The sequence below is a fragment of the Homo sapiens genome, chromosome 17, assembly GCF_000001405.40.
Source record: "Homo sapiens chromosome 17, GRCh38.p14 Primary Assembly".
Classification (NCBI taxonomy): domain Eukaryota; kingdom Metazoa; phylum Chordata; class Mammalia; order Primates; family Hominidae; genus Homo; species Homo sapiens.
Window position 1 is genome coordinate 62,369,225 of NC_000017.11, and position 21,989 is coordinate 62,391,213.

General features: G+C 40.0%; 1 protein-coding gene, 1 long non-coding RNA gene and 2 pseudogenes across 5 annotated transcripts in view; 3 read left to right on the plus strand and 1 right to left on the minus strand.

Annotated features, from left to right (window-relative positions):
• Positions 1 to 993: 993 nt before the first annotated feature.
• The window catches only part of EFCAB3 (EF-hand calcium binding domain 3), a 46,263-nt gene continuing 25,267 nt past the window's right edge, over positions 994 to 21,989 (plus strand). Inside the window, exons 1-5 of one of the 4 annotated variants that reach the window (NM_001144933.2) lie at positions 994 to 1,098; positions 4,590 to 4,643; positions 8,744 to 8,794; positions 13,739 to 13,829; positions 18,116 to 18,192. In NM_001144933.2, the coding sequence (NP_001138405.1) occupies positions 1,065 to 1,098; positions 4,590 to 4,643; positions 8,744 to 8,794; positions 13,739 to 13,829; positions 18,116 to 18,192 (307 nt within the window). In that variant the 5' untranslated portion in view covers positions 994 to 1,064. Of the gene's footprint in view, positions 1,099 to 4,589; positions 4,644 to 8,743; positions 8,795 to 11,305; positions 11,390 to 11,805; positions 11,896 to 13,738; positions 13,830 to 18,115; positions 18,193 to 21,989 lie in introns of those variants that run through there. The other 3 variants (XM_011524380.2, NM_173503.4, XM_011524381.3) reach the window with 3 other exon arrangements.
• LOC105371854 (uncharacterized) lies at positions 5,851 to 11,278 on the minus strand. The gene is made up of 3 exons (XR_934897.1): positions 11,188 to 11,278; positions 8,397 to 8,491; positions 5,851 to 5,886 (listed from the first exon to the last, which is right to left on the minus strand). It is a non-coding gene; the product is annotated as an uncharacterized LOC105371854 (long non-coding RNA).
• On the plus strand, positions 12,372 to 12,828 carry RPLP2P5 (ribosomal protein lateral stalk subunit P2 pseudogene 5; annotated as a pseudogene).
• Positions 13,880 to 13,941, plus strand: RNU7-52P (RNA, U7 small nuclear 52 pseudogene; annotated as a pseudogene).

Consider the following 21,989-nt stretch of genomic DNA (forward strand, 5'->3'; position numbering starts at 1 on the left):
GTGAGTTGCAAGCTATAATGGAAAGATGTTGTAAGTAATATCTTAATATTTGCTATTAATGTTGGAGAAGAATATTTTCTATTCATAAGTGTTCAGATTTTTCATATAACGTATGTTCCATTTTTGTAGATGCTGCTGAAGTTGAGTAAGCACCAGCATGGCACATGTATACATATGTAACTAACCTGCACAATGTGCACATGTACCCTAAAACTTAAAGTATAATAATAAAAGAAAAAAAACTTAAAAAAAAAACAATAACTAATCTGTATTTATATATCAGTGCCCATACTAGTCTCCAAAATTTTCAGCAAAACAGTTCTTCAAAGTAGTAATAGATATCAAGAGCCACAGAACTATTCATACCCTTTTCCCCACTAACCCCAGTCTTAGAAATTTATCCTTTAAAAATAGTTTCATTCTCATAATTGTGAGAAAATTGAAACAGATTAGAAATATCTAACCATACAGGAATTACTACATAAACCATGGTATGTCAGTTTAATGGGATACCATGTTAAAATGCTAGCTGTAAAGATTATATGGCAACTTGGAAACATGTTTATGAAGGAATGATTTTAGGTTGGAAAAGCAAAATACAGAAGTGTACATGTATTAGATTTCCACATTGTAAAAGTAAAGCCTTATTGCCAAGACCAAAATGGAATATCAAAAACTAAAAATGGTTCCTGTGTTAGAGTGATGGAATTCTATCTTTCCCCTGTTACATTAATCTGTAATGTTGTTACATAAAACTAAGTCCCTATATGTACTTTAATGTGCTGTGGATTTTGCAACAACCCACCAGTCAATTCCTAACCCCTGGTTACTTTCTTCTTTGTAGCCACTTTCTGATTCTTTCAATCAGAATTAAAGATTTTTGTTTCTGATTCTCCTATTCTGGATGATAATGTATATAAGCACAGATAGTGTTCTTTGTCCTTTGCAAATAATTCTGTAATATTTTTGCAATTCATTTCTCACCCTTTCTAAGGAGAGGTGATTGATGTCCAGAACTTAGACAATTTCTAGCAAGCGAAGGGATTGAGCTCACAGAAGAAGAAATGAAGGAGTTGATGCCTCATTTGACATTTAACGGTGAGGTGTATGTTTTATAATTATGTTACCTTCTTAGAAGTGTATTTTTGGGCTGGGCATGGTGATTCACGCCTGTAATCCCAGCACTTTGAGATGCCAAGGCAGGTGGATCACCTGAGGTCAGGAGTTCGAGACTAGCCTGATCAGCACAGTGGAACCTCGTCTTTACTAAAACTACAAAAAATTAACTGGGCGTGGTGGTGGGCACCTGTAATCCCAGCTACTCAGGAGGCTGAGGCAAGAGAATCGCTTGAACCCAGGAGGGGGAGGTTGCAGTGAGCTGAGATTGTGCCATTGCACTCCAGCCTGGGCAACAAGAGCGAAACTCTGTCTCAAAAAAAAAAAAGAAGAAGTGTACTTTTGTCATCCTGTACATAACATCCTCAGAAATGATCCTTATCTTTGTAACACCTAGAACATAGCTTCCCAAACTTAAACGTGCATATGAATCACTTGGTCGTCTTGTTAAAATGCAGATTTGGGGGCCAGACGTGGTGGCTCACACCTATAATTCCAGTGCTTTGGAGGGCTGAGGCAAGAGGATCTCTTGAGGCCAAAAGCTCAAGATCAGTCTGAGCAATAGACTGAAACCCTGTCTCTACAAAAAAAAAAAAATTTAATTATCCAGGCGTGATGGCACATGCCTATAGTCCTAGCTAATTGGGAGGCTGAGGCAGGACAATCACTTGAGCCCAGGAATTCGAGATTGCAATGAGCTATGATTGCACCGCTGCATTCCAGCCTGGGCAACAGGGCAAGACCCTGTCTCCTTAAAAAAAGAAAAAAAAAAAAGAGCAGATTTTGGTTCAAGAATAGGGTAGAGCCTGAGATTCTGCCTTCCTAACAAGCTCTCAGGTGATGCCAATGATGCTGGTGCATGAGCCACCTTTTGCCTATCAAAGACCTAAAAGATGAAAAAAAGACATGATATGTTAAGATTGTGCCTGACTTGCCGGGCGCGGTGGCTCACACCCGTAATCCCAACACTTTGGGAGGCTGAGGCGGGTGGATCACCTGAGGTCAGGAGGTCGAGACCAGCCTGACCAACATGGTGAAACCCCGTCTCTACTAAAAATAAAAAAAAAATTAGCCGGGCTTGGTGGCACACGTCTGTAATCCCAGGTACTCAGGAGGCTGAGGCAGGAGAATCACTTGAACCCAGGAGGGGGAGGTTGCAGTGAGCCAAGATTGCGCCACTGCACTCCAGCCTGGTGACAGAGTGAGACTCCGTCTCAAAAATAAAAAATGAAAACAAAAGATTGTGCATGACTTTCATTTCTTAAATCACAAATACAACCAATATGCTAAGTTGTGCCTGATGGTATGATTCCAGCCTGAAAAATAAGGAAAAATATTACAGCGAGTGAAACTAGAAAATAAAATGAGTATTAGGAAGAGATACACAGGGGAAGGAGGGGGAATTTGGGGTTGTTTGTTTATTGAAATTTTATTATTGTTTATTGAGTCTATTTACATGGCTTACTCACTGGCCCTTGTGCTATATAAATACTTTTTTATTTCTACCACTTTCTTTTTTGTTCTGATATCCCAGAAAAAGATGTTCTAAGTGCATCGGAGGATAACGTTTCTTACTATAATGCTTCAGTGATGTTGTCAGAGAGTTTCCATTCAGCCTGGCCTTGAATTTAAAAGAGTATATTGATTTATTCAAGCAACAAATATTTATTGGTCACTGAATATGTCAGGCCCTATACTAGGTACTAGGAATACAAGGATGAAGAAAGGAGACATACTTCGCTTTCTCTACGAAGCCCAACTGAAAGTAGGAGATGAGACACTGAACCATTAGGTTTCTCAAATCATGGTTTTATGGCAATAAATTTGAACCAATCCGTTGCAAACATATCTCCATGTTCTGTTCTCTCTAGTTTTTCATTTCTTCCTTTTTTGCCTATATTTTCTTCCTCTTCTCTCTTCAGTTGAAGAGATTTTGTTTTTTGTTTTGGGGACAGGGTCTGGCTCTGTCACCCAGGCTGGAGTGCAGTGGCATGTTATCAGCTCCTGGGCTCAACCTTGCAACCTCCGTCTCCTGGGTTCAAGCTGTCCTCCTACCTCAGCCTCCCAAGAAGCTGGGACTACAGGCACACACCACCATGCCCAGCTGATTTTTGTATTTTTTGTAGAGACGGGGTACCACCGTGTTGCCCAGGCTGGTCTCCAACTCCTGGGTTCAAGTGATCTGCCTGCCTCAGCCTCCCAAAGTGCTGGAATTACAGGCGTGACCACCGCGCCCGGCCAGTTGAAGAGATTCTTTACAACCCTTCTTAATCCACTACTCTTGATCTCATCTACTCTCTTTCCAAAAATTACTCCTTTAATAATTCCTTTCCAACATATTCAGTTTCATTTATCTCTCTGTATCCTGCCTCTAAAAAGGCAGATTGCCTTCAGATCAACCTTTACATAGCAATGGTCAGAAACCTTCATGACTCTTTCCTATGTTCCCAAAAAAGTCCAAACAAAACCCACGGCAACATAGCCCCCATGTACTTCTCAGCTTTCTCCTCCACTACTTCCAACATGTCATGCTCCAAACCAACTGAACTACCCACAGTTCCCTCAAAATACCTTGTTCCTTCTTATTTTTGTCCCTTTGATTAATACAATTTCCTAAAGCACAGAAAAGATGAACTGCTTTTTAAAAAGCAGAGATAGGGCCAGGCACAGTGGCTTAAGCCTGTAATCCCAGAACTTTGGGAGGCTGAAGTGGGTGGATTGCTTGAGACCAGGAGTTCGAGACCAGCCTGGCCAACCTGGCGAAACCCCATCTCACTAAAAATAAAAAAAATTAGCTGGCATGATGGCACATGCCTGTGATCCCAGCTACTTGGGAGTCTGAGGCACGAGAATCACTTGAACCCAGGAGGCAGAGGTTGCACTGAGCTGAGATCACACCACTGCACTCCAGCCTGGGTGACAGAGTGAGACCCTGCCTCAAAAAAAAAAAAAAAATGTAGAAATAGGTATCTCTTTCAAAGACTCATCCTTGCCAGGCACAGTGGCTCACACTTGTAATCCCAACACTTTGGGAGGCCAAGGCGTGAGGATCACTTGAGGCCAAGAGTTCAAGACCAGCCTGGGCAACATAGGGAGACCCCCATCTCTACAAAAAAAAAAAAATTGTTTAATGAGCTGGGTGTGGTGGCACACACCTGCAGTCCCAGCTGCTCAGGAGGCTGAGGTGAGAGTATCGCTTGAGCCAGGGAGGTCAAGGTTGCAATGAGCCATAATCACGCCATGCACTCCAGCCTGAAGGACAGAGCCAGACAGAGCCAAAACAAAAGTTCATCTTTTTTTTTCCATCATATTCACCTGACAGAAAAATGAATCCAAATTCCAAAGCAAACCAATGTTTCTAGTTCTTCTAACTCATGGAAGAATTTCAGCCTATTATATTGTTTTTAATAATTTCACAACTGTTATGAATTTTTATGTGACTGCCTCTGTATCTAAACCAAAATGTTTTACAGGAAATGGAAAGATTAATGTTAATTCAATAATGGAGGGCCTGAAGAAGTTTAAACGTAAGTGAAAATTTATTATACAATATAAAATTATAATCTGATGCTATATGTGTATTTTTATCTGTGTTTTCTTGGTTATAAAAGTAATATATGTTCATTATAGAAAATTTCTATATTTAGCAAATGAAAAGATGAAAAAAGGAAATTTTAATAATTCTTAATTCTATCCTCCAATGATAATCCATAATTTTATCACCACAAATTTTTTCCTTATGCATACATAATTTCTGTGCTTTTTTATCCATGTCCAATGTATTTACATTCCCTTTTCTTACTCATATTAAAATCTTACTTTTTTATAAATATAGCTAGGCCGGGCACGGTGGCTCATGCCTGTAATCCCAGCACTTTGGGAGGCCAAGGCGGGTGGATCACCTGAGGTCAGGAGTTTGAGACCAGCCTGACCAACATGGTGAAACCTCATCTCTACTAAAAATACAAAAATTAACTGGGCGTCATGGTGCGTGCCTGTAGTCCCAGCTACTCGGGAGGCTGAGGCAGGAGAATCGCTTGAACCTGGAAGGCGGAGGTTGCAGCGAGCCGAGATTGTGCCATTACACTCCAGCCTAGGCAACATAGAGAGACTCCATCTCAAAAAATAAATAAATAAATATAGCTAATAATCTAAAGTTCCTTTCTGGATGCCTCTGAAATTTAATACATAATCTCAGTACTTTTTGGTTGTAGGCCCCTTATATTTAATTATTTCTAAAATAAGTTTCTTATTGCCAAAATGCCATGTTCCAAATGAATGGGAGATTTGAACATTATGCTGTGAAATTGATCAACAGAGGCAAGGTAAAACTTGTCTCTGCCCTCTTCCCACACACGTACAACCTCAATCTTGAGTTCATTTTTAAGTAATCTTGATTTATTCTCTGCATCTGCATTCCTAACAAGTGCGACAAAAAAGAAATTTGCTGTGTCTCTGCAAGCCTGACTGTGTTTCAAAAAGGAGGATGTTGCAGGGCATGGTGGCTCACTTCTGTAATCCCAACAATTTGGGAGGCCAAGACAGGCAGATTGCTTGAGGCCAGGAGTTGGAGAGCAGCCTGGGCAATATGACAAAACTCCATCTCTACACAAAATTACAAAAATTAGCCATGTGTGGTGGCATACACCTGTAGTTCCAGCTACTCAGGAAGCTGAGGTCGGAGAATTGCTCGAGCCCAGGAGGTTGAAGCTGCAGTGAACTGTGATTGCACCACTGCACTCCAGCCTCGATGATAGAGTGAGACCTTGTCTGTAAAAAGAAATAAAAAAGGAGGATGTAAGAATAATTTAAGGTATATTATGCAAGTATCCACAAAATGAATTTTAATAGAAAATAAATTTAAATTCTGGGTACCCATGCCTAATATTTCCAAGTTAGTCCTGTTGTATTTTATTTGTAAAAGAAAAAATATCTACCTTTTAATAAGCCCAGTCTATCCCATCTATTGCTGCTTTTGTTGTTGGTGCCAGAAAACTTTCAGGAATGTTCACTTGGTAGTTTTTATCCCCAGCCTTTAAAATCATACTGCCAATTGGAGATACTGGAAACCATCTCCCATGGCCATGTATAAGTTCTATGTTCACCAATAAGTATTTTTTGAGCACCCAGACACTGTTCAAGAAAGTTTAGCAATGACCAAAAGATAAAGCAAGGTTCCCACTCTCACAAAAGCTTAGTTTTTGAGTACACAGTATATGCTCAATAAATACTTGTTGATTACCTGATAGAGGTTCTAGTCTCCTGCTTTCAGATAATTGAAGATTCACTAACTGAAGCAGCTGTATCAAGGTCATTCTTAAGATAATCCCTCCTATCTGGGCAACTCAGAACAAACAGTTCTGTAAAACTAACCCCAGGTAACATAAACGAGTCACCCATATCAGAATTGGCTCTTAACCATTTATAAAGCCAGGAAGGCACAACACTTCAGATATCTTTGCTTACTTTTCTATCATTCTTCTTTCTCCTCTTCCACTTCTTCTTTTTTCCTCTTTTATTATCTTCTCCATATCTCTAAAAATATATTTTTTTCTTTTGCTCCAGCTTCCCCTTGTTTTTCTAGTGCTATTCTTTCTTTTTCTTCCAGTCTCTTTATCAAACATATACATTTCACATGGCTACCCAGCTCGCCCACATGTTTTCTTCACTTCATAAGCCCCAATCCACCTACTGCCACTGAAATATATTTTATTCTGTGAAGTCTACAGTGCCTTAAAGAAAATTTAGATGTTTTAAAGTATGTTTCATATTTTTAGAAATTTCAAATACTGGTTTCTATTTCAAAGATTCACTCAATAATACTACATTTTCACTTATAAAGTTTTCTTTGGCTGGGCACGGTGGCTCACGCCTGTAATCTCAGCACTTTGGGAGACCGAGGCAGGTGAATCACTTGAGGTCAGGGGTTAGAGACCAGCCTGGCCAACATAGTGAAACCCCGTCTCTACAAAAATACAAAAATTAGCCAGGCTTGGTGGCACACTCCCAGCTACTTGGGAGGCTGAGACAGGAGAACCACTTGAACCTGGGAGGCAGAGGTTCCAGTGAGCCGAGATCGCACCACTGCACTCCAGCCTGGGTGACAGAGCGAGACTCTGCCTAAAAAAACTTTTAAAGAAAGTTTTCTTTATATAAGTATTAAGGGACAAATTTTATTTCTTAATGCCATATTGACACATTTGCCTTCAAATATACTACTGTGATTTAAGTCTTCACACTCAAATTTCAGATGACAGACATAGGCATAATGGCAATGGCATTTTTCACACTTAAATATCTTTTTCTCCCATTTCCATTTCACCATTTCTACTTTCTAAAGAATAAAGGTGAATTTCAGCTACCTAAGCGTGATAACGTGGAAATAACATTCATATATGAACAACTTCAAGACCTGCTAAAATTTATGTTATTTGATGGTGAACATTCAGAACTTCACTCTGGCCTTCAGAGGCACTGGGGTTGTAAGGTTCCACATGAGAATTTCTAAAACTTTACTTACTAGGGACACAGAGAAAGTCTAACATACATTTAGAAAAAAAGTCGCCATATAAAAATAAAGTCTGCTTCTTGTCATCTTCTAAGTCACATTCTCAACCATCATGTTGCCACGTGCAGTGTCTAAGAATGGCATAGGGTGCCTCTAGCAAACTAATATCCAGGAAGGGAGAAGAGCCAAGCAATAGAGAGAGAGAGAGAGAGTGACCAGATCAGAGGCAGGAAAAGAAAAGCTGCTTCATAGGTGTAGGTTTTTCTGAATTCTACAGATTATGTGTTTCATATTAGAATTAATCCTTTCCCCATAGGAAAGATATTTCTTCTTTATATGTATTGCTTTCTGCATTATATATTACCTTATATAGCCTCTATAACCTAAAGGGATCACCAAGCATTTTCCATGTTTCTGTGTTTCATCATCTGCCATGGACCTTTTTTGATATTAAAATAATACATTATTGGTTTATCTGGCCAGGCCAAACCAAACCAAACATAGGAAACTGAGTTATTATAGCCACACTTTTTTCCTGAGTATTAATCTCCTCATGCTTAGAAAACAAAACTACTCCCACATTTTTAGAGGAAAGAAAAGAAAAAAAGTTAAATCTGTACTATTAAGGTTTTGATTGGTTGTTGTTCTGGCCATAGAAAGGGGTGGGGTGAAGGGAGATTTTGCAGTTAGTTAATTATACCCACATATTTGATAGGATAATTCACTAGAAAGAAATATCTATCTCATTAAAAGGTATCTAATTAGTCAATACCTTCCTAAACAAAGCATTCATGAAAATGAAGTGGGTAACAGATCATCTTCCTCCTGAATCAACAGATTTTCAAAGTCATTCCACTTCTTTACATCCTAAAAGATGATAAATGAATAGTCTTGATTTCAATGCTGACACTATAGTGCTTTTCAATTTTTGCTTTTGGAGTGCAATGCATTAAGGCACCAAAAGAAACAATATGAAAGATGGATATCCCATATAACCTTGACATTTTCTTAATTTTTTCACTCATCTGGGGAAAAAAATAAGATAAATTATGCCCTCCTAGTCTACTTTCCATAACTTCAGAAATTCATGTAATTTTGATTCTTAATCTTGTCTTTAAGCAAAAGGAATGGTGACTCTGCATAAGTTGAAAACTGCAAATGATATTAAAGGTGAGTGTGAAAGCTGATGTGAAGCCATTGTAAAGATGGGGCTTAATACTTTGACTTACATTTTTTAATACCTTAGTTACTTTCCCTAATTGTCTTGTCAGTTTCTATCCTCCATCTACTTGTCCATAAAGTGAATGAACACCGTTATCTCTCCAACTTTCTTTCTAAGTTCCTTGTACCTTTATAGTCCACACCACACTGAATCACATGTGATTATCAGGTATTTTATATTCTTTTCTAATGCTCCATTTATGATTTTTTTAACCTCTAAGAACACTGTAGCCTATTTGGTATCACAGTACAATTTACAAAGCAGGTGTTCCTGACTCTGCCATTAAGGAAATTAATTCAGTTCATTGGGCTTTAGTGTCCTTAGCAGTAAAATAAAATGGGTGAGGACCTGGAGCACTGGCTCACACCTGTAATCCTAGAGCCTTGGGAGGCGGAGGCAGGAAGATCACTTGAAGCCAGGACTATGAGTCCAGCCTGGGAAATTCAGCGAGGCCCCCTCTCTATAAAAAATTTTAAAATTAATCAGTTGTAGTGGCACTTGCCTACTGTAGTCCTAGCTACTCGGGAGGCTGAGTGGAAGGATCACTTGAGCCCAGGAATTGGAGGCTGCATTGAGCCATCACTGCACCACCGCACTTCAGCCTCAGCTAACAAAGAAAGAACTTGTCTCTTTTTTAAAAAAAATGAAATGGGCATGGACACAGGGAGGGGAACATCACACACCAGGGCCTGTTGGGGGGTAGGGGGGTGGGGGGCTAGGGGAGAGATAGCATTAGGAGAAATACCTCATGTAGATTACAGGTTGATGGGTGCAGCAAACCCGCATGGCACGTGTATACCTATATAACAAACCTGCACGTTCTGCACATGTGTCCCAGAACTTAAAGTATAACAAAAAAAAAAATGTGGTGGGTTGGGGGCAGAATTAGGTTGATGATCTATTAGTTATCTTTCAGCTTTAAAATTCCAGGACTAACTTCTGTGGCTGAAAGAACATTATCAATAAAGTAAAAAGACAACCCACAGAATAGGGAAAAATATCTGTGAATTATGTAATTGATAAGGATCTAGTCTCCAAAATATATAAAGAATGCTGTAACACAACAATAAGGCTGGGCATGGTAGCTCACGCCTGTAATCCCAGCACTTTGGGAGGCCAAGGAGATTGCTGGGGGCCAGGATTTCGAGACCAGTCTGGGCAACATAGTGAAACCTCATCTCTACCAAAAATACAAAAAAGTAGCTGGGCATGGTGGCCTGCACCTTGTAGTCCTGGCTACTGGGGAGGCTGAGGTGGAAGACTCACTTGAGCCTGGGAGGTCGAGACTGTAGTGAACCATGATCCTGCTACTGCACTCAACCCTGGGCAACATAGTGAGACCTCACCAAAAAAAAAAAAAAAAAAATCTAAGTAAGTAGCCTTTAATATAGTAGGCTCTTAGTAAATAATTGTTGAATTAATTTATAAATTAAGCCTTCCCTTTCTTTCCTTGTGTGTTCCTGTCCAGAATGGGAGGCAGTGTACCAAGCTTAAAAAGATTAGGTTAAAGTCAAATTATGCTCATAATGAACAAATCCCCCTGAGCAGGAATAGGAAACCTCTAGAACTGCTGCAAGTGAAACCTGAAGCACTTTTAGGGGCCCAACTATATAACTAGCTAAGCCTTGGGTGCCAGAGATATCTGTACTTAGCCATGATAGACTAAAGACACTCCTAACTCCTGCGCTAGAGTATTTATAATGCCATGAGACATGTCAGATCATGAATACCTTGGTTTCTGCTTAAAACAATCTTTTCTGTAATTGTTCTTTTGAAAGCACTTTTCCCAATAATACTAAAGACAGCCTATGAGAGTTTTTTTGCCTCTCTTTCTAGGCTTAAACAATTAATGAAATGATTCTTAATCACCATTCAGTGAAGGCAGCTGAGTAAAATGTTTTAATTGAACAACTTTCAACTGACTGATGAAGACTTTCTCTTTTTTTCTGAGACAAAAGTCTCGCTCTGTCGCCCAGGCTAGAGTGCAGGGGCGTGATCTCAGTTCACTGCAACCTCTGCCTCCCAAGTTCAAGCAATTCTCCTGCCTCAGCCTCCTGAGTAGCTGGGATTACAGGTGTGCACCACCACACCAAGCTAATTTTTGTATTTTTAATAGAGATGAGGGTTTCATCATTTGGCCAGGCTGGTTTCAAACTCCTGACCTCAGGTGATCTGCCCGCCTCGGCCCCCCAAAGTGCTGGGATCACAGGCATGAGCCACCACACCCAGCCTGATGAAGACATTAACATGAAAATATATTAATATAGAACTTGAAACAAAAATTCTCCCCCTTCCCTGAAATTCCAACAGTGTCAAAATGTTCAGATTTTATAAATCATACCCTCATATACACCAAGGGTGCTGAATGAACCACACTGAAAACACACTTGCTGTAAGGTTGGAAGGAGCTCCTGGGTCATTCTCTCCCTAGGCTTGAGCCTGAGCAGTGAATGAGGTCACAGTTGTGTGATGGAACAAACCCTTTATTGGATTCCTGATCTGATTGAAGCCCAGAAGTGGTAGGTAGCACGGCTTAAAAGTAGGTAAATATCGTGATTTTGTAGGATTCTATGCTAAGTCCTTTTTAAAAAATCTATTATCTATGAGAATTGAAGGTATTTTTTTAAAGAAATGATTATTTTGAGGTATGGGGATGATTTCACAGCACCTTTCAAATGCCTGAATTGTTGAGCCATTCTGGTGTTCCCAGCTCTGTGGCAGGTTTTCAGATTTTGAGGACTTGTAATTGAGTTGTTTAGAAACAACTGCTTTCTGGGCTCTGAGGTGGAGACCTGGGAAAATGGATCAAATTCTAACCAAACATTCAGAGACTTTTTTTCCTCATGGTTGGATAGTATTCAATTATCCATTATTCCTAAGTCAGCAACCTAGTTTTCTTGTCAGTGAACTATCAAATACACTCTACATTTTTTTATTATTATTATACTTTAAGTTTTAGGGTACACGTGCACAACGTGCAGGTTAGTTACATACGTATACATGTGCCATGTTGGTGTGCTGCATCCATCAACTCGTCATTTAACATCAGGTATATCTCCTAATGCTATCCCTCCCCCCTCCCCCCACCCCACAACAGGCCCCAGTGTGTGATGTTCCCCTTCCTGTGTCCGTGTGTTCTCATTGTTCAATTCCCACCTATGAGTGAGAACACGCGGTGTTCGGTTTTTTGTCCTTGCGATAGTTTGCTGAGAATGATGGTTTCCAGCTTCATCCATGTGCCTACAAAGGACATGAACTCATCATTTTTTATGGCTGCATAGTATTCCATGGTGTATATGTGCCACATTTTCTTAATCCAGTCTATCATTGTTGGACATTTGGCTTGGTTCAAATAACAAGAGAGGGGGAAGCCCTACCAACCCAGCTTCTGGTCCATAAGCCCTGTTTCTCAAACTATGCCAAGTGGAAAGGCGACGGTAATTCACAAGTTCCTTCCGGGGTCTAGGGTAGCAGAACTGCATTGTATCCCACCCCCATTCCTACTGTTAACCAAGACCACCTGGGCTTTTCCTCCCTGACTCCACCAAGATCGCACGCATGGAGGCCTTGCCACCGCCTCCGTAGACGCCCGCCCCCAGTGCGCTCGGTCACCTCCCTCCTGCTGGCTGCCCTCGGGGGCAGCACCTCCCTCAGAGCCAAAGACATCAAGAGGATCCTGGACAGCGTAGGCATCGAGGCGGACGACGACCGGCTCAACGAGGTTATCAGTGAGCTGAATGGAAAAAGCATTGAAGATGTCATTGCCCAGGGTATTGGCAAGGTTGCCAGTGTACCTGCCGGTGGGGCTGTGGCTGTCTCTGCTGCCCCAGGCTGTGCAGCTCCTGCTGCTGGTTCCACCCCCGCTGCAGCAGAGGAGAAGATGAGGAGGAGGAGGAGGTGTCCAAAGAGTCAGACGATGACATGGGATTTGGTCTCTTTTATTAAATTCCTGCTCCCCTGCAAATAAAGCCTTTTACACATCCAAAAACAAAAACAAACAAACAAACAACAGTTGGTCCCAAGAAGTGACAGGGCAGGGATGAGTCTCCCCAAAAGAAACCCTGGGAAAATCTACTTACTACTAGGCAGGTATCTAAGATGTAAACAAGTAGGCAAATACATTTTATTCTTTGTCAATTATGACTTGAAATGCTCTACTGATTTCATAATAAAATAGCATCTTTAAATAACTTTTTCCATATATTTCCAGAATGCTCATTATCTGTGTCACATGGCACCATTTTTATTATTTAAGGTGTACAACTTGATAATTTGATATATGTATACATTGTTAAACAATCACCACAATCAATCTAATTAACATATTCATCACTTCACTTAGTTACTATTTGTGTGTGTGTGTGTGTGTAGTGAGAACACTTAGGATCTAATCTCTTAGCAAATTTCAGGTATACATTACAGTAGTATTATTACCTGTAGTCACCATGCTGTTCATTAGATCTTCAGAATTTATTCATCTTCAAACTTTGTATCACCAACATCTCCCCATATCTCCTTCCTCAACCACCATTCTACTCTCTGCTTCTATGAGTTAAACTATTTTAGATTATACATATTAGTTAGATCATATAGCATTGGTCTTTCTGTGTCTGGCTTATTTCACTTAGCATTTATTCTTACATAGGATCAGAGTGACACTAATTGAAGGGGGAGCAGTGACAAGCAACTTTGCTCAGAAATCGGGAACAACGAAGGGGAATTTCCACATGGCATTCCAACTTTATGCATACCTCTAACTTGAGTTTGCATCTATTACCATTTCTTGAGGCCCTAGACTTTTCAAACTCCAGGCTTTGAGCTGAAAAAGTTGCAAAAGAATATAAAGAATGAATCTGTAAACTGATTTCTTAATTGTATATTCTGAATTCCAGACAGAGTCACTGGCCACATGGCAGTTTCAGAAATTAAACCAAAACTTAAGCTGAATCCTCTAACAAAAGTACCCATCTCCCACAATAAAAGGTAGGTAATGAATGATTAAGGGTGATAAATGTATTATGATAAAGAATTATTAGTGTTACAGCTCTTTTAGAATTTTGTCTAGCAGGTTTTCCGATCTTTACTGGGAAGCCCCTAAAAAAAAGAAAATTATTGAGATTATTGGCCAGATGCAGTGGCTCACACCTGTAATCTCAGCACTTTGGGAGGCCGAGGTGGGCGGATCATGAGGTCAAGAGATCGAGACCATCCTGGCCAACATGGTGAAACTCCGTCTCTACTAAAAATACAAAAATTAGCCAGGCATGGTGGTGTGCGCCTGTGGTGCCAGCTACTCGAGAGGCTGAGGCAGGAGAATTGCTTGAACTTGGGGGACAGAGGTTGCAGTGAGTTGACATTGTGCCACTGCACTCCAGCCTGGTGACAGAGCAAGACTCCATCTCAAAAAAAAATTACTAATATATTAAATGCTCATAAAGATTATGATGAAACAATTAAAATACTCTTCAAATATTTATTATATGATAACTTTAGTTATAAAACAAAACATCGGAATTGAAGAGAAATATTTTTTATGAAAAGAAAAAGATATACATCTTTTTTGATAGGAAGAGCAGAATTCTCCCTCCTGTCCTCCCAAAGGAGAAGCTGTTTTTATGTTAGGATACAAAATACCCTAGGGGGCTCAAGAAGTTATCAGTTATACCTTGAGATATTTTGAGTGCCAGTTTAAAGAAGAAAAAATTTAGAAGATCATAAAGAAGACCTAAACCCATAACCAAGTCAAAGTGTAGAAAAAGGGTCTATATTTCAAATATAGCTGGTAAACGAAAGCTGGTAAATTAGCCATGACTGACCCTGGGCTAAAATTGGGAAGGGAGATTTACCTGTGACATTAACAATGGCTTTTTCTCAGTCACCTAACAACAAATTTCAATTAACAGCCACTAATGAGCAAAAATGAGAGCCTGATTTATATTTTATCAGATCATAAGAAGAACATTTTTTTCTCTTTCACAATTATCCATTTACTTTCTATTTTGAGTGTATCTTTTCTAGTGTCCTTGACTATGCAAGCTGTCTTTTGAGGGAGTGAGTTCCTTGTCACTGAAAGTAGTTAAGCAAAGACTAGACAATACTACATGTAAAGGGAATTCCTACATTAGATGGAAGGCTGGATTGGGTTCATTCCAAATGTAAGGTTCTTCAGTCATTTGAAACTTTGAAAAATAAAGTCTTTCTCCAATGTTTGATCCAAGATAAGGTCTGAAATTGTGCCAAGAGTGTCTTTTTAAAGACAGATAATAAGAACTTTACATTGCCTGGCCTAGCACGGTGGCTCACATCTGTAATCCCAGCACTTTGAGAGGCTGAGGCGGGTGGATCACTTGAGCCTAGGAATTTGAGACCAGCCTCTACCAAAAAAGATACAAAAATTAACTGGGTGTGGTGGTGCACACTTGTAGTCCCAGCTACTCAAGGGGCTGAGGTGGGAGGATTGCTCGAGCCTAGGAGGCAGAGGTTAGGGTGAGCTGAGATCGCACCACTGTGCTTCAGCCTGGGCAACAGAGCAAGACCCTGTCTTGAAAGAAAAATAAAAGATCTTTACACTGCCTTGAATTCTACTTTCCTCCTGCTTCTTGAGAACATAGTATTTCTCCATGTACTGCATCTTCTACATCATGCAAAAGAAATTTGTTTATATTTAGAAATACAGATGGTCCCCAACTTAACAATGGTTCAACTTACCATTTTTTGACTTTACAGTGGTACAAAAGCCATATGCATCTGGTAGAAACTCTACTTCAAATACTCATACAACTGTTCTGTTTTTCACTTTCAGTACAGGAGTCAATAAATTACATGAGGCATTCAACACTTTATTACAAAATAGGCTTTGTGCTACATGAGTTTGCCCACCTGTAGGCTAATGTAACTGTTCTGAGCACATTTAAGGTAGGCTCGGCTAAGCTATGTAGGTTAGGCAAATTAAATGCATTTTCAATTTACAATATTTTCAACTTATGATGGGTTTATAAGGAGGTAACCCCATCATGAATCAAGGAACATCTGTACAATAAATATAAAATAACCTATCTGAATAAGGACAAACCTGAGCTTCAGAAATTACAGGTTGGGCACAGTGGCACACACTTGTAATCCCAACACTTTGGGAGGTAGAGGTGGGAGGAACACTTGAGCCCAGGTGTTCAAGACCAGCCTGAGCAACATAAGGAGATCTTGTCTCTACAAAAAATAAAAAATTAGCTGGGTATGGTGGCATGCACCTATAGTTCCAATTACTCAGGAAACTGAGGTGGAAGGATCCTTGAGCCTGGGCGGTCAAGGCTGCAGTGAGCCACGATCACATCACTGCACTCCAGCCTGGACTGCAGAGGGAGACTCTGTCTTGAAAGAATGAGAGAAAGAGAAGAAATTCAAGTAGATAATAAAGAGGAAGCACCAGAAGAAGAAAGCAATGTTAGTAAAAACTGAGAAAATAAGACAAGTTAGATAAAATTCCACTTTCAAAAGTTAAGAACAGTTTTGAGACTATCACCTCCTTTTCTCCCAGGCCCCTCTTTGAAAATGAGTTGAATCTAATAAGTACTTTAGGGGATACTAAATTAATAAACCATAATAATTTTTTGTTTAACTACAATGTTTAGTATTTCTTCTAGTTTTACTTTTTTTTTTTTTTTTTTTTTGAGACAGAGTCTTGCTCTGTCACCCAGACTGGAGTGCAGTGACGTGATCTCTGCTCACTGCAAGCTCCACCTCCTGGGTTCATGTCATTCTTCTGCCTCAGCCTCCGAAGTAGCTGGGACTACAGGCGCCCGCCACCATGCCCGGCTAATTTTTTTTTTTTTTTAATTTTTAGTAGAGGCGGGGTTTCACCATGTTAGCCAGGATGGTCTCGATCTCCTGACCTCGTGATCCACCCGCCTTGGCCTCCCTAAGTGCAGGGATTACAGGCATGAGCCACCGCACCCGGCCTAGTTTTACTTTTTAAACTGCTTCTTATAAAGCCACAAAACTATGAGATTTCATATTTTTTAAACTTTTAGTTTTACAAGTATCAAAACTAAATGCATTTTAAATAAATTTATAAAATTGGTTATAATTAAATTTTGGAGTTAAATCACATTTACTTAAATGTAATTAAATTTTATTTATCATATTATAAGCAAACTCAGTTTTACATGATACATTTTTGTGTTCTTAAACTAATAAATTACTTCAGATCTGTACAAAGTATCTTGAAAGTATTAATATGTTCCTGCCTTTTCCAGATTTTACTTTCCTCAATAAATGAAAGGTCACCCAGGGTTTCAAATTTTCAGAGGTGTTCTCTATCTTTATTTCACTCTCTTATACACCCATACATATGCTGGTAAAAATACAGTTTGACGATTGTAAAATAGTTGTAAAAGTTGTAAAAAAAAAAAAGTTGTAAAATAGTCATAGATACAGAGGTTTCTCTGTAAGGGTATTCACCACAACAACGTTTATACAGTTTTAAAATTTGAAACTCAAGGCTGAGAATTGGAGCCAGCAAAAAAGAAAATTGAAACAACTTCTCTTTCTAACAACAGGAATAGTGTAAAGCATTATGGCCTTGACTTTTGGAGTCAGACAAATCTGGGTTTGAATCTCAGGTCTTCCATTTACTATCTGTATAACCTGAGACAAATTATTTAATTGCTCTGAGCTTCTGTTTCTTATTTTGTAAAATGGGGGAAATCGTAACTGGTTTTTTGGGGTTTGTTTTTTTTTGAGATAGGGTCTCACTCTGTCACCCAGGCTGAAGCATAGTGGTGCAATCATGACTCAGTGCAGCCTTGACCTCCCAGGCACAAGCAATCCTCCCACCTCAGCCTCCTGAGTGGCTAGGACTACAGGCCTGTGCCACCACACCTGGCTAATTTTTTTTTATGTTTTTGTAGAGACAGGGTCTTGCTACGTTGCCCAAGCTGGTCTTGAACTCCTGGGCTCAAGCGATCCTCTTGCCTTGACCTCCCAAAGGGGTAGGAGTACAGGTATGAGCCACCATGGCTGGCCTGAAATTATAATTTTTTAAGGGAAGGGTGATGGGCAAGTTTAGGGCAGAGGAGGATCTCAGTGGCCAACATTTTCTCACTGTTCATCCTGTAGCTATGGGCTATCCTAAATAGAAGATCCCTTAGGATAGTAGACTGGATACATTGAGATGCTACAGTCATTCCAGTAAGCAGAAACTGATGAGTAAGACTAATATCTGCTGGTTTCACATAGGTAGTAAATCTAAATATTTTCACATCTTTCCTCAGGGATAGAGACTTACCAGGATCTCTTCAATGCCAATTACAACACAAAGAAAAGAAGCTAAGTGCTTCACAAATGGCAGGTAATGAGAATCATCCTCAAAATTGAAGCATAACAGCTCCTTAATATGTCTGATCCTTTCTTCTCTAAGAAAGATCTGAGATTTCAAGGGTTGTCTACACCACCATCATTTGAGAGAAAGGAAAAAAAACCTTACATTTTTGTGGGACAGGAGGGAAATTGCTTTTAAATGGACATCTCCCTAGAATTTAGGCAGTGCTGGTCAAATAACTGTATTCAAAGAAGAACTTGTGGGTATGGAAAAGAACAAACGCAAAAAGAACAAAAATAACAAAAGAACAAATATAAATCAAGTAATAAAGAACACAAACACAGCTACAGTCCTAGGATTTCTCAAAGAAAACAATATAAAATGAGCTACACTGGCTAAAGTTTATTCATCCAAACAACAAATATTTATTTAATGCCAAAAATGTACTAGGCGTGGGAAACAACAAAACAAGTCAGATGTGGTCCCTGCCCTGATAGGAAGTCTAATAGGGAAGACAGGCTGTTAAACCATGAACTTGCCAGGCACGGTGGCTCACGCCTGTAATCTCAGCACTTTGGGAGGCTGAGGCAGGCCGGGCCGATCACCTGAGGTCAGGAGTCCGAGACCAGCTTGGCCAATATGGTGAAACCTTGTCTCTACTAAAAATACAAAAATTAGCTGAGCGTGGTGGCGGGCACCTGTAATCCCAGCTATTTGGGAGGCTGAGGCAGGGAGAATTGCTTGAACCCAGGAAGCGGAGGTTGCAGTAAGCCGAGATCGCGCCACTGCACACCAGCCTGGGCGACAAAGCGAGACTACGTCTCGAAAAAAAAAAGCCATGAACTTGCTGAATAAATCATTTAAATTACAATATAACACAAGTTATGATAGGAAAAGCATGGAGTGTTATAGGAGCTTAAAGGAAAGCCTCCTAATTTGGTCTTGTGAGGGAAGAAAGGGAGTCCCAGAGAAGGCTGAATGACGAACAGGAGTAAATCAGGCAAATAGCGCTGACAGGAGTTTCTAGGCAGAAAGAGCAGAATCTACAAAGGCCAGAAAAAAGGGAAAGCATGATGCACTAGAAAAATTCAAAGAAGTCAAGTGTGGCTGTGTTTGGGTTGCATCTGGTTTCTGAAGAGGCTGATGCTTTACCCCACTAAATTTAGAACCAATTTAGAAATTGACCCAGGAGACAGAAATGAATCAAAGAATCAATCCACCTTGACCAGCCCTGACAGGGGCAGTCCCTCCAGGGCCACCAAGGCCCCAGATAGCAAAACATCAAATATGGAAACTAGAAAATGTGTTCTTTACAGTGCTTAATCCCCAACTTTCCTATGAGAGGTTAATTTGTTCATTCTATAATCAATCAACCTTTATTGCTGGGAATTTCGGTTTGGAAAACACAAAGGATTGTCATGATCAGATTGGCATTTTTCATTGTAAAACTGAGCTAAATGCCTTAATAATAACAGCTTATGGTTTTATAGACCTTTAAGGTTTCTAAAGTGCCTTAAGATACTTTGGTACTCATTTTAAGGGGTCTATTTTAGTCAGATATGGTGAGACAGGCAGACGCAGAAATGATGGCCACAAAGGAAGTTTTTCATACTCACAGATCCCTAGAAACAGGGCACAGCATGCCAAGCATGTGGGGCCACAAGAGGAAGCACCAGGGTCAGTCAGGAAGTGGGCAGGGGCAGCATGTGGACAAGAAACTCTATTGTGGTTTCTGCAAGAAGGAATGGACAAGGCAGGGTAAGCAGGTATGGGGTTAGCTAGTTTAAACAATTTCAGTGGGCTCTGGCATGTAAGGGCTGTCCCTAGTTGTCTGGTACCTAGCCCTGGGATGACTAGGGCAGGGAAGTAGTGTCTCTGACTGTAAGAGGTGGAGAAGGCAGGTGGTTGAGGATATGGTCTCTGGAATATGGTCTATGGAATTGGATGGTTTGCAGAGGAAAGACACACTCACAATCTAGTAGTCACTATTCTAGGAATTGACCAGCCCTGAGAGGGGCAGTCCCTCCAGGGCCAGCAAGGCCCCAGATATCAAAACATCAAATATGGAAACTAGAAAATGTGTTCGTTACAGTGCTTAATCCTCACAACTTTCCTATGAGAGGTTAATTTGTTCATTCTACAAATATTTATTGAATACTTCAAGATCCCCAGCATCTCCCATCCTTACTGTCAATTGGTCTGCTTACTTTCCCAAAGAAAACTGAAGCAATCAGATTAGAATTTCCGTAGACCCTCACCTCCATGTCTACCTCCTTACCAGCATCTGTATCCATATACTCTGCCTTCCACCAACTTTTTCTATTTGAGCAATAAAAATTAATAATATAGAATTGATTATAACCCAAAGTATAAAATAAACATCCATGAATCCACACTGATAGAAATAAATGACTAATTATTTAATTTTTATTTATTTATTTATTTTTTTCTGTGCAGTGGTGCCATCTCGGCTCACTGCAAGCTCCGCCTCCCAGGTTCACGCCATTCTCCTGCCTCAGCCTCTTGAGTAGCTGGGACTACAGGCACCCGCCACCACGCTCAGCTAATTTTTTGTATTTTTAGTAGAGACAGGGTTTCACCATGTTAGCCAGGATGGTCTCGATCTCCTGACCTCGTGATCCACCCACCTTGGCCTCCCAAAGTGCTGGGATTACAGGCATGAGCCACCGTGCCCGGCCATAAATGATTAAATTTTCAATAGGAAGAAGAGACAAATGGCAGAGGTAGCAATAGCCGGAGGGGGAAATGGGGTCACAGTGTACTTTTTAAGGGAGAAACAGCAAAAGTTTATACAACAATAGGATTGATATAATAGAAAATGAAAAAATGATATTTCCCTTACCTAAGAGGAGACCCTTTCTTCAGTAAATTCTTTGAATATGAGAGAGGGGATGAGTTCCAATCCACAAGGGAGGGATTGGCTCTGGGTAAGAGCATACAGTTTATTTGCAGCGCAGAGAGAAAGGAAGATCATGCAGGTACAGGTGCTGGTCAGGAAGTAGACATGGAGGTGGGAGTGTGTAGGAATTCTATTTCTCTTCTTTCTAATCATCCACCCAGAATTACTTTTTCTTTTTTCCATGGTACATACCACCTTCTAAAATGGCATCTAGTTTACCTATTTATTACATTTATATGAAGGCACAGATCTTTGTCTATTTAGTGCACTAATATATCCAAAGCACTTGGAGCAATACCTGGTCCATGGAAAGCATGCAATCAATATTTGTTGACTGCCTACTAACATGCAAGAGATAGTGGGAAAAACAGAAACAAGTCAGAGATAGTTTGGTTCCAGCCCTAGAGAAGCCTACCTTTTATCAAGGAGAAAGATGTTACCTTTTACATTACACACTTACAGAGCAGGTATCGTTATCTCTGTAGGAGATTAATCACTGTTATACATAGAGACGCTGAGACTTGAATGTGATATGAAGTAAGTTTTATTCGGGTGTCATTTGGGATATATTTTGTTCCAGGTTTATTTCGTCATTCTCTAATTTCAGAAAATACATACCTAATTTTGGCTCCAGTTAGTGCCTTGACTATTTCTTTGAAAAACTTTGGATTATACAAAACATACATACACACATATGTGATTTGGGTCCAATTTGACAAATTAGTTTTCTATTGCTGCTGTAACAAATTGCCACAAACATAACAGCTTAAAACAACACAAATTTATTATCTCACAGTTCTATAAGTCAGAAGTCCAGGTGGGTACAGCTGGTTTCTCTTCTCTGTGTCTTATAGGACTGAAATTAAGGTGTTGGCCAGCCTGTCCTTAGCCAGGATGGTCTCAATCT